Raw genomic sequence first — 15,195 nt, 5'->3', positions numbered from 1 at the left:
AACCATGAGACTTCTCTAGGAAAACATTGATTGCCTGGCTGGAAAACTTCAGAAACATTGAGTTGACCACTATTCTCAGGCACCTGCACATACATTTTTCAGGCCATTGGGTACAATTTATAGCATCTTATTTTCCAGTGAAAATAATCTGTTACTATATTTGTAGCCTGTTTCATACGGTTTAACACTTAATAATTCTCTGTTGTTTTTATTACGAAAACTTGCATTCTCTCATCTAGAGCAGAATCTCCCTGAGGGCAAGATTTACGCCTTCCAATTTCTTTGGACTCCTCCACAGGACCAGACAGAGAATGAAGGAGTACAATAGTGGGTGATCAAGAGGGAATGATTACAGGACAGAGTATTTGGAGACCTGGGCAGTTCCAATGCTCCCCACCCCCGTCAAGCTGAGTATAGGTCCTCAGAAAGCACTTAAGTCTCAGAGTTGCCATTTCCTCATTTTCAGATTACCTCTCTTACCTTACCGGTTGTTGGGAGGATCAAATAAGATAATGTCTGTGAAAGTATTTTGTGAACCAAGATCTGCTAGCCACTGAAATGTAAGAAGTCATCAGAAGAGGCACTTAGTAAATATCTGATTGATTTTTAATGATAAGATATTGTCTTCCCCTTTCTCCTTTACATTCAGCTCCTTTGAGGGTGTTATTTTGCAGGATTTCACTTTATATGAGTAGCAAAACCACTCCACATCCACCTGATGCTGTGTGGTAGGTCCCCTAGTGCATTTCATCTCATAATTATCTTAAAATTTGATTGACATTTAAGCAAACCAACCAAAAAAGTCACAAGGTATGCCATGGTCACGTTGATCACATAGAATTTGTCAAGATCAATGCATGTGTAACCCACTGGCATTTCAGAGCCTTTCTTGTGCTGCTGCGTCAGCCCACTAAAATTATACCCTAGGCAAAGATTATGTATATTTCTGTACTCTAGTGCATAGTTCATACATGAGAGTGGCAGATCATTGCTCTAAGCCCAGGCCAGAGAAAAAGAACATTAAAATGTGGCAGTATAATGGGGAATTTCACAAAAAGGTGACACTATAAAACAGACTCTTAAAACAACTCATTTATTTGTAAGTCTTTATTCTCTATTTGTTCTTAGCAAAGAAGACAATCTCTCTATAGTAACAGAATTCTATATGACTCATTAGAGAAATCTTTCAAACATGGTTATTCCTTAAAATGCTTCTGGAAGATATAAGGTTTGGTCTTAGGGTTTCTTCTCACTCAACTGGAGGAAAAATAGAGATGCTAAAGGATAAGCTAAATTGTATATTCCAGGGATTTGTTTATGTAAACTCCTGATTCCTCATCTAGTTCTTTGGGCCCAAATAACGTGAAAGTAAAAATAATTAGAGAGTGACAGCTTGGCTGTGGTAAGCATTGTCTTCTCTTACTGAAGCTTTTCAATTCCAGTATTTTCAAACCCTATTCCTGAAAGCTATGGGAACCTGTTTTTCCCAAATTCAATCATACAGTGTCAACTGCAGGACTGGTATCCAGGTTTGAAGCATTTTGTCAACATATTGAATCCAGACCAGTTTTGAACTCTATTAACTCTATTGATGAACATATTTATGATGGGTTTTTTTTTGGAGATGGAGTTTCACTCTGTCACCCAGGCTGGAGTGCAGTGGTGCGATCTCGGCTCACTGCAGCCTCCCCGTCCCGGGTTCCAGCAATTCTCCTTCTTCAGCTTCCCGGGTAACTGGAATTACAGGCACGCACCACCACACCCAGTTAATTTTTGTATTTTTAATAGGGATGGGGGCCGGGTGTGGTGGCTCACGCCTGTAATCTTAGCACTTTGGGAGGCCAAGGCAGGTGGATCACTTGAGGTCAGTAGTCCGAGACCAGCCTGACCAATATGGTGAAATCTCGTCTCTACTAAAAATACAAAAATTAGCTGGGCGTGGTGGCTTGCGCCTATAGTCCCAGCTACTCAGGAGGCTGAGACAGGATAATTGCTTGAACCCAGGAGGTGGAGGGTGCAGTGAGCTGAGATCGTGCCACTGGACTCCAGCCTGGGTGACAGAACGAGACTCCATCTCAAAAAAAAAAAAAAAAATAGGGATGAGGTTTCACCATGTTGGCCAGGCTGGTCTCAAACTCCTGCCTCAGCCTCTCGAGTTATTGGGACTAAATGTGTGCGCCACCAAGTCCAGTTAATTTTTTTTCTTTTTGGTAGGGATGAAGTCTCCCTGTGTTGCCCAAGCTGGTCTCGAACACCTGGCTTCACTTGATCCTCCTGCCTTGGCCTCCCAAAATGCTGAGATTATAGGTGTGAGTCACTGCGCCTGGCCTGAAGCCTAATTTTTAATAGATGTTAGTAGCTAGTAACATTAAACTCATACTAAATACCAATACATTTTAATGTTTAAACCTGATAACATGTTTATGCATATATAGTTTTCTATAATAATTTTATTTTCATCAGATGCTTTTCTTTCTTATTCTCAAATTTCTCCCACTTCTTCTAGGGCTGATGTGAGGCTAAGCCTCTTTCATAATCAATACTGGAGGGAAAATACCTAAGAGGAGGAGGAAGTAGTGGATTTAACATTAATTATTATCATTATCTTCCTGTGACACCATGCTCTGCTCCCTTTGCCTGAAAAGTTGCAGGAAAATAATGGTGATGGGAAGGGGAAAACGTCCAACTGCAGAATTAATTATTTGTCAATTTACCCCCAAAATATATGGTGAGTGGCAGACATGTAAGGGTGTTGCTGTACTCTTGATATTGAGAGAGAGCACGAGGGACAGATATTATAACACAAATGTTTCAAGATGGAGAGTTTCTTGTACATAGAAAGTCATTTATGTATTGTATATTTTAATAAATATTTTTGTAGAGTACAAATAATTTTCTGTATGGAATTATTCTAAGATTTATGAAAATGTTTACCAGTTTGTAACCAAACCATTCCCAAAAGGGATCTAAAATAATAATTTTAAGAAAGAAATAAATTAGAATGACATTGAGTAAAAGTTATACAGCTTTCTTTTTCTTTCTTTTTTTTTTTTTTTGAGACCAAGTCTCACTCTGTCGCCCAGGCTGGAGTGCAGTGGTGGGATCTTGGCTCACTGCAACCTCCACCTCTCAGGTTCAAGTGATTCTCCTGCCTCGGTCTCCTGAGTAGCTGGGATTACAGGCACCTGCCACCACACCCGGCTAATTTTTGTATTTTTAGTAGAGACAGAGTTTCACCATGTTGGCCATGCTGGTCTCGAACTCCTGACCTCAGGTGATCCGCCCGCCTCGGCCTCCCAAAGTGCTGGGATTACAGGCGTGAGCCACTGCGCCCGGCCTTAAACAGCTTTCATAAAACATTGGTTTCTTCTTTTATATTGTTCCTCATGGTAAAAACAGCAACATTTCTACATAAATGGTAACATTTGCACCATTTGCTTCATTTTAGGATCTGTGATTGCTCTTGGGAACGAGTCCTGCTGTAGCGTGAAGGGGAAGGTATAATTTGGAGCCAGACACAAGAAAAAAGGTTTCTTTCAGAAGCAATATATTTATGTACATGTAAGAGTATCAGAAAAGGATTAATAATTTCACCAAGTAATCTAGAGCTACATTTCATATGTAAGTTCTTCACAGAGCTATGACAAACTTTGTAGAACTCAAGCCTTCCATGGAAAAAAGGTTATAAAAATTCTTTTGGCTGGGCATGGTGGCTCATGCCTGTAATCCTAACACTTCAAGAGGTTGAGGCAGGAGGATTACTTGAGACCAGGAGTTCAAACTGCTGTGAGCTATGGTTGTGCCACTGCACTCCAGCCTGGATGACAGAGCGAGACCTTGTCTCTAAAAAATAAAAAATAAATGTTAGAAATAACAGAATCGGCCAGGTGCAGTGGCTCATGCCTGTAATGCCAGCATTTTGGGAGGCCGAGGCAGGCGGATCACAAGGACAGGAGATCAAGACCACCCTGGCTAACACGGTGAAACCCCTTCTCTACTAAAAATACAAAAAATTAGCTGGGCATGGCAGCATGCACCTGTAGTCCCAGCTACTCGGGAGGCTGAGGCAGGAGAATTGCTTGAACCCAGGAGGTGGAGGTTGCAGTGAGCCGAGATCGCACCACTGCACTCCAGCCTGGTGACAGAGCAAGACCCTATCTCAAAACAACAACAACAAAATAATAATAATAATAATAATGTCTCTTTTAAAAAACAAATGCAATGGAGATAGCAAGCCACAAAGCGTATTACAGTATTAGTCATAATTATTTGCCTTGTCACTCTTGATAACTTATTTTGCATTCAGTAGAGTTAGAGAAGTGTATGGATGAATACTCATCATAATTCTTCTCCATGTGGACTTTAGAATTTTAGGATAACAGCTGACCTTCTTCCTTCAATAGGTAGACCCTTAAAGGAATCTAGGAAGTGCTGACCACACAGCACCTCCATCAAGACAGGGCTCATTTCCAGCCCTGCTTAAGGGAGTAGTGAGATATTTGTTGCAGTCTATGTGTGATGTTGAAGGAAGTGAGGAATATAATCTTCCTTAATTATTACATGGTGCCCATGACCTTATTTATTATTTCACTAGTAAAGAAATAAATTGTATTTCTTCTTCAACATATTCACAATGAATCTCTGAGATACAGGAATATGCTTATTCAGTCAAGAAAGGTATTTATTTATATAAGAGAAGCAAGTGCTTCAGAAGAAAACTTCCTACTTAACAACAGAAGAAAATACCTTCTTAAAATGATCAAGCCAGTAAGTCTAAGGAAAGGGAGGAAAGGAAACAATAATGAAGTATAATACACAGTAAAAATAAAATGGAAAGAATAAAAAAATATCAGTTACCACTAAAAATGTGGATGAGTTGAATCTCTGTGTCAAAAGGCAAACTTTTATATTGGGCCAAAACAAAATTAAGCTATGTCTAAGGAATTCACCTCTAAGAAAGTGACTATGAAAGTTTGCAAATAAATGACTGGGCAGATATATGTCAGGGAACTCCAAAAGCAGGAGTGTTTAACCTGAGAAAGCTGATTGCCAAAAATAACAACAAAAAAGGAAAAAAGCAAAACAAAATAAACAAAAGCAGGAGTGCCAATATGAGCAAATTCAAGGCCAGAAGCATTAAATAGGAACAAGAGTCTGGAACGATTGAACAGACTGTGGCAAAGATTGCTAGATGCTTACACAATGTCCATTCCTCTTCATCCTTGCTAACAAAACTTCAATTTAATTTGGAGCAGCAGTGTGTCCAGATTTTTTTTTAAGTTAATTTTTCCATCTCCTTTTGTACTTAGGGATAGACAATAAGTTGTAGGTGGCTCATGCCTGTAATCCCAGCACTTTGGGAGGCCGAGGCAGGTGGATCACCTGAGGTCAGGAGTTCAAGACCAGCCTGGCCAACGTGGCAAAACCCCGTCTCTACTAAAAATACAAAAAAAAAAAAAAAAAAAAAAAAAAAAAGCCGGGCATGTGGCAGGCGCCTGTAATCGCAGCTACTCAAGAGGCTGAGGCAGGAGAATCGCTTGAACCCAGAAGGCAGAGGCTGCAATGAGCCGAGATAACGCCATTGCACTTCAGCCTGGGTGACAAAAGCGAAACTCCGTCTCAAAAACCAAAAAACAGTAAGTTGTAAGCAGAAGTTAGTGGATGGGGCCTGCTGAAATCTAACTCACCTGGATTACTCATTTTTACTCTTTTTCCTCCTTCCTGTCTGGAATATGTATGTGATGGCTAGAGCTGCAGGAGCCATCTTGCAACCATGACTTGAAATATGGGTACCACACACTAAAGGTGACAGAGTAGGAAGACAGAAGCAGCTTGCATTCCAGATTACCATAGAGCTACTATACCAGTCCTGGACTTCCTACCTCCAAACATCTTTTATATGAGACAAATACAGCTTCATGTATTTAAGCCACTATGATGTGTGCATTTATGCAGCCAGCCCAATTGCCTGTGATATGAATAGAAATGTGACAAAGATATACAAGTTATCAGCTATTATGCACTTAAAAACAGTGCAAAATAAAAATCAAAAGACAAGGAGCATTTGATGAAATTATAACCATAGTGGTAGATTTTAATACATCCCTTTCAGAATTTGATGGAACATGAAGTCAAAAACAAGCAAGAATATAGACAACTATAATGATATCATCAGAGGCTTATTATATACACATATATAAGAGTGTATGTGATTAGTAAATAGCATAAAAACCACATATATATACCTTGCAAAAAGGGAATATGCAATCTTTTTTTTTTTTTTTTTGAGATGGAGTCTCGCTCTGTCACCCAGGCTGGAGTCCAGTGGCACAATCTTGGCTCACTGCAACCTCCGCAATCCCAGGTTCAAGCGATTCTTCTGCCTCAGCCTCCTGAGTACCTGGGACTACAGGCACGCGCCACCACGTCTGGCTAATTTTTTTGTATTTTCAGTAGAGACGGGGTTTCACTATTGGCCTGGCTGGTCTCGAACTCCTGACCTCGTGATCCACCCTCCTTGACCTCCCAAAGTGCTGGGATTACAGGCATGAGCCACTGCGCCCTGCCCAATCTTTTTATATGTGTATGGAACATTTACAAAATCAATCACATATGTGGCCATAAAAGATTGTGTAGGGTACAAAAGAAAGATGCTGGAAACAGTCTGTTCTACAGCTTGCTGGCAAAATGACCTTGTGCAAGTTACTTAACCTTTCTGGGCTTTGTTTCTTTGGAAAGTGGAGATCATCATAGCCAGAATTTTAATCTTTTATCATTATTACCATCCCTCCCAGCCTAGCATTTTCCAGCCTGAGGCCCATTTACCTATATGAAGCTGCTAGTGCCACATGTCACTAGCTCTATGTAGAAGCCATTGATGGCTGTCACTGTTTCCCATTGGAGGGTCAACAGCAGGCTAGAAGGTTAGCTTTTCTCGAATGGGCCTCAACTGAACAGTGAACACAAGGCTGTCTACTACAGAATTCAAGAGCACCAAAAGAATGTTAAATGGATGAATTGTTATTTGCAGGAAAAGAAACAGGCACCATGTTTCCAATTATTCTTCATTTCAGACAACGACTCGCTGTTTCCATTGGCCAGCACAGTAGCTGAATGGGGAACACTATGGAGTAAACCTGCTGAAGAAGGATGAATGTGGGCCAGTGAATATTTTTGACACAGTCCTAGCTTTATTTTTGCTTATTGCTGGCAAGCTAATGAGAAAGTCAGTATAAAACAATTGACAAAAACTTTGTAAATGAGGCTTAAAAGACAAGAAATCTTTATAGCTCCCCAAAAGATACACTTTTTGTACCAACAAGGATCATTTGAGACGTAAGATAGAACTTCCAAATTTAGCTGTTGGTTAAAAAAAGGAAAGCAATAATATAAATCTTTTTAAAAACCCACAAAATAAAATATTTTTAGTATCACAAAATCAAAATATTAAAGCACATGAAAAACTTAAAAATACATAAAGGAAAGATAGATTTCCATAAATTAGTACTTCAATATATACAAATATGTGAATCTGTTAAGAATACCATTAATTGCATATTTTAGGAAATTATTATTTCGTATAAATTAAAAATATATAGGATATGTTACAAATTACAAATATTCAATGTTTTGATAAAATAAACTTTAATAAAAATAATAAACTTTGAAGTTTATCCCTGAACTTAGAGGGAAGGCAGAAATGAACTGAATATAGTAAGTTCCTCAATTCATTTTAGGTCACAAACCAGGGATAAAATAATCAATGTCAACTGGGAGTAAATGGGGTATTTGTTCGTTTGCTTTTGGAGATATGTAATAGCATCATCAGAGTAATATTTGTTTTTTGGTTTTTTTTTGAGTGGAGTCTCACTCTGTCACCCAGGCTGGAGTGCAATGGTGCAATCTTGGCTCACCGCAACCTCCACCTCCCGGGTTCAAGCAATTCTCCTGCCTCAGCCTCCCAAGTAGCTGGGACTACAGGCGTGTGCCACCACACCCAGCTAAATTTTGTATTTTTAGTAGAGACGGGGTTTCACCATATTGGCCAGGCTGCTCTCAAACTCCTGACCTTGTGATCCGCTTGCCTTGGCCTCCCAAAGTGCTGGGATTACAGGCATGAGCCACTGGGCCCGGCCTATTTGTATTTTTGTATGTTTAATCTCAAACATGTTGATGTACAAATAAAGAAATGGAGGGTAGTTATTTGGGTGTCCAAAATCTTTCCTAACTCTCTAGATGTTCCTATTTTTTCTTAGCATTATTTTAGGGTATCAATTCTTCACCAATACCTAATCCTTCCTCTCTTTTAAAAAATGTTGTGGGATTACAAAATTGGCTGTCATCTTTCTACTTAGAATGACCTGACTAACTTCTGCACTCATAAATATTATTTCCCTGTCTTTGCTTAAGCTATTGTCAGTCACAGAAGCTCCATCTTTTCATATGTGGGAGAACAACAAAATCAGGAAGAAGTTTCTTCCACCTACTCTATCTATCTATCTATCTATCCATCCATCCATTCTATCTCTCTCTCTCTATCCATCCATTCTATCTATCTATCTATCTATCTGTCTATCTATCTAATCTAATCTATCTATCTATCCATCCACCCATCCATCCACCCTATCCATCTATCCACCCATCCATCCATCCACCCACCCTATCTCTCTGTCTCCCCATCCATCCATCCATCCATCCATCCATCCATCCATCCATCCATCCATCTGCCTATCTATATACCCACCCTATCTATCTATCTATCTATCTATCTATCTATCTATCTATCTATCTATCTATCTATCATCTACCAGTTATCAGGGAGGGAGACAAGTGGGGAGGAGAGAACAGACTTGCCCTGTCTGAATTGTACTGGAAACTTAGTCTGTACTTGCTCTTGTTCTATAACTCTACTCAAGAGTACAATATTGTTAGAACCAAATGAATTTTTTTAATTCAACTTGGCAGGTAGCAGTAAATATTTACTGGTTTGAATTATCAATTCTCATCAAGATTGGTACTGAGAACTATATTAAAACAATCAGGAGATTTTTCTTAAAGGATCATTTTTTATTCCAAAATTGGTTATTGTAAAATGTGTGTGAGTCTGTTTAATCACGTCAGGCACAGGATCATCTTGCATTCCTGCCTTCTCCCAACATGTGGAGGTCAGATGCCTTGTGCTGCCCTCACCTCATGTCGGGAAGAGATACCACAAAGTAATTTTGTAGGATAAAGAAGGATTAAGAAGAGAAAACGGGTTCTGAGGAAAATGCAACATATGAAATCAGGAATCTCCCTTTCCAAGGAACTTTCGAAGGCTTTTAAAACCTTTCTTGTCCCCGCTATTGTTTTCCCATCACCAGGCAAGAAAGTTCAGTTTTTCCGATTAAGAGTGCCATCTGTGTCTCTGAAAAAAGACACATATTGTGGAATGAAAAGGAAACGGTGGAGTGAGGGATAAATGAGCATCAAAAGTCTTTAAAGGGTGGGGCGCGGTGGCTCACGCCTGTAATCCCAGCACTTTGGGAGGCCGAGGCGGTCAGATCACGAGGTCAGGAGATCGAGACCATCTTGGTTAACACAGTGAAACCCCGTCTCTACTAAAAATACAAAAAATTAGCCGGGTGCGGTGGCGGGCACCTGTAGTCCCAGCTACTCGGGAGGCTGAGGCGGGAGAATGGCGTGAACCCGGGAGGCAGAGCTTGCAGTGAGCCGAATCGTGCCACTGCAGTCCAGCCTGGGTGACAGACCGAGACTCCCGTCTCAAAAAAAAAAAAAAAAGAAAAAGAAAAAGGTCTTTAAACTCTGGAGAAGCAAAGTGAAAACTGAAAACTCAATTCAATTTGTCAGTACTTCTGGTTACAAGAAAATCTGTAGTAAATGAAGACTATGTTGTTTTGTTGTTTTGTTTTGATTTGTTTTTTTAATTCAGCTCCTACAGGAGAAGGCTGTTTTTGTTTTTTTAAGCTGCTCCTCGTGGAGCAGCACCGAGTCAGCTGAAAACTATGTTTCTCTGTGTGTGTGTTTTTGTTTGTTTGAGATGGAATCTTGCTCTATGACCCAGGTTGGAATGCAATGGCACGATCTCAACTCACTGCAACCTCCACCTCCTGGGTTCAAGCAATTCTCCTGCCTCAGCCTCCTGAGTAGCTGGAATTGCAGGCATGCATGACCACGCCAGGCTAATTTTTGTATTTTCAGTAGAAATGGGGTTTCACTAAGTTGGCCAAGCTCGTCTCAAACTCCTGACCTCAGGTGATCTACCCACCTTGGCCTCCCAAAGTGCTAGGATTATGGGCGTGAGCCACCACGCCCGGCCAAGACTATGTTTTTATAAAGCTAATTTGCATTATCATTCTAGGACTCCGATATGTCCCTCTTCCACTTGTTGTCAATAAAAAAATTCATCTCACCCAGAATCCAATCATTTCACATGAGTCAGAATGCATGACTGACTCAAGGTTCAACTATCTGTAGTGTTTTTCCCTTATTAGATTTAATATTTCCTTCAAGATGGGCTTGTACGTCAGGTACTTCGTCACTCCCAGATAGCTACAGATTTTTGCTTTATTATGTCTGTTGTATGAATGTGTGTGTGTGTGTGTGTGTGTGTGTTTGTATATACAAAATATGATGTATACATAAGTATTTGAATAGTGTTATAAATGCAAGTTTAAAGAAAATATTGATTTTTGTCAATTCATTCAAGGAAAACACATATTCACTAATGCAAATATCATGTTACAGAATCCACCTGATTTTCATTTGTTTAAATCAAGTAATTTTTAATCAACTTCTACAAATTTGACTCAGTCATTTCTCATATGCTGGGGATCAAAATCTCTCTACTACATTTAAGTCATTCATCATAGCTATCAAGCATTACACAGAGATTTACAGTGGAATTAATACTATGGATCAAGTATAAGTGGTTGTTCCCCAGTTGCATCTGACAGCATTTCTATTTTCAGTGTTTCTTGAAAAGTCCAACATCAGGTTTGTATACATCAGAACCTTTCTTGCTGCAGTTACTATAGGAGACAGTTCCGTGGCTTTTCATGGTGTACAAGAAAGGTAGATTTCAATTTCTATTATCTAACTTTGCTAGGTTTTCAGGTATGCTCATCAATAAATTAATTCTTGGCCGGCACGGTGGCTCACGCCTGTAATCCTAGCACTTTGGGAGGCCGAGGCAGGTGGATCACGAGGTCAGGAGATTGAGACCATCCTGGCTAACATGGTGAAACCCTGTCTCTACTAAAAATACAAAAAATTAGCCGGGCGTGGTGGCGGGTGCCTGTAGTCCCAGCTACTTGGGAGGCTGAGGCAGGAGAATGGCGTGAACCCAGAAGGTGGAGCTTCCAGTGAGCCGAGATCACGCCACTGCACTCGAGCCTGGGTGACAGAGCGAGACTCCATCTCAAAAAGAAAAAAAAAAAATACAAAAATTAGCCTGGTGTTGTGGCAGGCGCCTGTAGTCCCAGTTACTTGGGAGGCTGAGATAGGAGACTGGCCTGAACCCCGGAGTCAGAGCTTGCAGTGAGCCGAGTTCGTGTCACTGCCCTCCAGCCTGGGCGACAGAGCGAGACTCCATCTCAAAAAAGTATATATAAAATAAAATAAAAATAAATAAATAAATAAATTCTTGTGTGGACAGATTAATGGACTCCAGATCAACTCTTCGAAGGCTCTTCATTGCTTTGGTGGAAGGTGAAAGGCTCACACTAGGTCTTCATTAACAGCTCTTCTCCACCTGGCCCCAATCTACCTGCTACTATGTCCCTTCTGTGCTGGTCCCACTGGTCTCCTCATTGTTGCCCAAAATACACCCTGGACATTTCCAACTTCAGGCATGTACTTAAGCTGTTCTTCTCAACTAAAATATCCTCTTTCTTTTGCTCTACAAACCCAAGTTCTATCTGTTCTTTGTCAATGTTGTATTTCTTAATTATACCAAACAATGTATGAGTATATCCTCATTAGAAAAATATTCAAACAGGCTAGGCGAGGTGGCTCATGCCTGTAATCCCAGCACTTTGGGAGGCCGAGGTGGGTGGATCACCTGAGGTCAGGAGTTCGAGATCAGCCTGGCCAACATGGTGAAACCCTGTCTCCACCAAAAATACAAAAAGTTAGCTGGCCATGGTGGTGGATGCCTGTAATCCCAGCTACTTGGGAGGCTGAGGCAGGAAATCGCTTGAACCCATGAGGCAGAGGTTGCAGTGAGCTGAGAACGCACCATTGCACTCCAGCCTTGGCTACAAAAGCGAAACACGATCCCAAAAAAAAAAGAAAGAAAAATATTTAAACAATAATAAAGAAGTATACATACAGTAAAAACTGAAAGTCCCTATTAATTCTAGCCCTTCCCCTCTCCCACCTGCCAACTGTATTGCCCTTCTTCCAATTTGCTAGTTATCCTTCCGACTCTTTTTCACTGCATTTAATAAACCTATACAGTTTTTGTTTTGCTTCATTTTTAGGTAAGTGGGGTTACAGTATACACTCTGTCCTGTGGCTAGCTTTCTCCTCTTCAAGACCTATATTAAGTTTCCTCTCTCTCCCCAGAAACCTCCCTCACCATTTCAGCATCCAATGACCTCCTCCCTGTAACCCTGCCTTGGATTTCAAACACTTGGTATCCTTGGAACCCTATTGGCTTCTGATTCATCTCTTTATGATGTCGGGTTGTTTAACTTTTTTATGTGTGTCTTATCACTGACATGTAAAATCTTTGAGGGGAGGAATGTTATCTTGATCTTTTGCAGCATTTAGAACTGCCCAAAATGGGTCTCCAGCCTGATTTTATTGAGTAAGTGAACTTTAGGTTTCCCATTTCCTGATCTAAGATGGGAAAGCTCTGCTCCAATGCAGGGAAAAATTAAAATGTACTATGATGAAGTACTTCAGCGTTTTCATGCACTCTCCTAAGAATTCTCTCAATCTGTTGTACATGGTGGGTTTGTGGATTTCTATTAATATAAATCAGTTGAGAAGTGCAGCAACTTTGTGAGAAGCCAGAGACCCCAGGCAAAAACTTTTCTTCTCTGACCTGTCAGACCAAGGACAGCTCCATGAGTTACAAACCCTCAGAGATGAAATCATCACAGAGTGAAAGGGAGGTTTACAGCACAGGCTGATGTGGGAAAAGGTTGTGAGGGAAGCACCAACTAGCCAAGGGGAACCCACTCTCTCAGATGTTTCAGACTTTTAAAATTTCAGCTCTCACTGAACCAGCTTTCCAATGGAATTAGTCACTGGTATAACAGCCACAGCAATTCAAAAGGCCTTTCATTTTTCCTTTTAAATTAAAGCTGTAAAGTCGAACTTGAAATTCCTTCAAAAAATGTTATTTTCTCAGCATCACAGAGAAGGCAAAACAGCCAATATAACATATCCGTGTTTTATGTTAAATGCTGTCCCTTGAACAAGTTACTTAATCTTTCTATGCCTCAGTTTCTTTATCTAAAAATGAGTATAACATTTGTGCCTACTTTATAGAATTTTGAGCATTAAAATGAGATAATTTAGTGCAGTATGCAGTGAAGGCTGGCTCACAGTAAATTCTCAAAATTGTTAGCTATGATGAGGGTGATCATGTTATGACTCCTCAAGTCTATGTCAGCAGCTACAATGGCTCGCTCTCTCTCTCCCTCTCTCTTTCTTTCATAAAGATAGGGTCTGCTGTGTTATCCAACAGTGCAGTGGCATGATCGTAGCTCACTATAGCCTCAAACTCCTGGGCTCAAGCGATCCTCCCACCTCAGTCTCCCAAGTAGTTAGGATTACAGGTGTCAACCACCATGCCTAGGTGAAAGGGTTTTCTATGTGAGACTTTAGCCAAAGCAGGCATACAAGAACACCGTTGAGCTGTAATAATGGTGAACATTATGAACAATATTTCTTGGGAAATTCTATTTAATTCCTTCATCCCCATTACAGTGAATTTGCTTAGAATCTTTATTCAACAGACTATTGCTTGAAAATAAATGAGTTATTAAATGGAAAAATCTCTTCTTGTGAAAAATTTTCTCTAAAATCCTATTAGTCCTAACTAGATAATACATTCCTTTTGACATCTTACATGTCTGCTATTAATAATCTCAATTCGTAAGTCTAACTAACCAGTTGAAAGGATCTAACTTAATTAAGAATTTTGCTTTATCAAAAAATTTTCTATTGTCTCAAAAAAGAGCTTCCAGATCCTTCAAAAGAGGCCATTAATCAAAGCAGATAAAATTAGTTTTAGTTACTAAATAAATACTTAGAATACTGCAGATAATCAAAGTAGTTAAAATTAACAGTCAAACTGTTAATTTTGTGGTCTCAAATAGTTATCGAGACACTGTAGACATTGCAGAAAAAATCTGAAGCAATGAGCTGGTTAACTCAGATACAACGATATTTGGGGCATCAATTGATTACGAGTTTCAGATTGAATTATTCTGTTATTCAATTGTTCACTTAGGCAATGCCTATATAATAAGTTAACTTAGGCTATCTTAATAATTGATGTGTGTTTGTTAGTGTATTGGCTAAGGACATAGGACTTTAGATGAGAAAATGAGGGTTTCAGCCAGACACGGTGGCTGGCCGGGCGAGGTGGCTCACACCTGTAATCCCAGCACTTTGGGAGGCCAAGGAGGGCAGATCACTGAGGTCATGAGTTGGAGACCAGCCTGGCCAATAGGGTGAAACCCGTCTTACTAAAAATACAAATATTAGCCAGGCGTGGTGGTGGGTGCCTGTAATCCCAGCTACTGGGGAGGTTAAGGCACACGAATTGCTTGAACCCAGGAGGTGGAGGTTGCGGTGAGCCAAGATTGCACCACTGCCCTCCAGCCTAGGTGGAAGAGCTAGATGCTATCTCAAAAAAAAAAAAAAAAGAAAACAACGATTTAAATTTCAATTTGGTAACTTCCTACATAAGTGAACTTGGACAAATTATTTAACCTTTCTAAGCCTCAGTTTTCTTATCACTAAAACGTAATACTTATTTTGCTGGCTTGCAAGGGTAAAATGAGGTAATATACATAAAGAAAATATACATAAAGAAAATATACATAAAGGCTTAACTGGCACTTAGTAGGTAGACATTGAATTAATTCTTTTCCTTTTTAAGTCACTTCAGTTTCTCAGCCATGATATTATAATAAATAAGTAAATACATAATATGTCAGGTGGTGGTAAGCGCTA

General features: G+C 39.9%; 1 protein-coding gene across 2 annotated transcripts in view, besides 1 other annotated feature; it reads right to left on the bottom strand.

The window, feature by feature from the left end:
• Positions 1-15,195, bottom strand: part of MKLN1 (muskelin 1) — a 386,539-nt gene that overhangs the window by 312,878 nt on the left and 58,466 nt on the right. The window lies entirely within an intron of this gene.
• Positions 9,219-9,419: a silencer, noted in NCBI's record as "peak6722 fragment used in MPRA reporter construct". NCBI's record gives its function as "represses an SCP1 promoter by STARR-seq MPRAs in K562 erythroleukemia cells {active_cell/tissue: K562}" and the evidence as "EXISTENCE:reporter gene assay evidence [ECO:0000049][PMID:32103011]".

Source organism: Homo sapiens, chromosome 7 (assembly GCF_000001405.40).
Source record: "Homo sapiens chromosome 7, GRCh38.p14 Primary Assembly".
In the NCBI taxonomy this organism is placed as follows: domain Eukaryota; kingdom Metazoa; phylum Chordata; class Mammalia; order Primates; family Hominidae; genus Homo; species Homo sapiens.
Note: the sequence above shows the minus strand (reverse complement) of the source record. Positions and strands in the feature narration are given on the sequence as shown.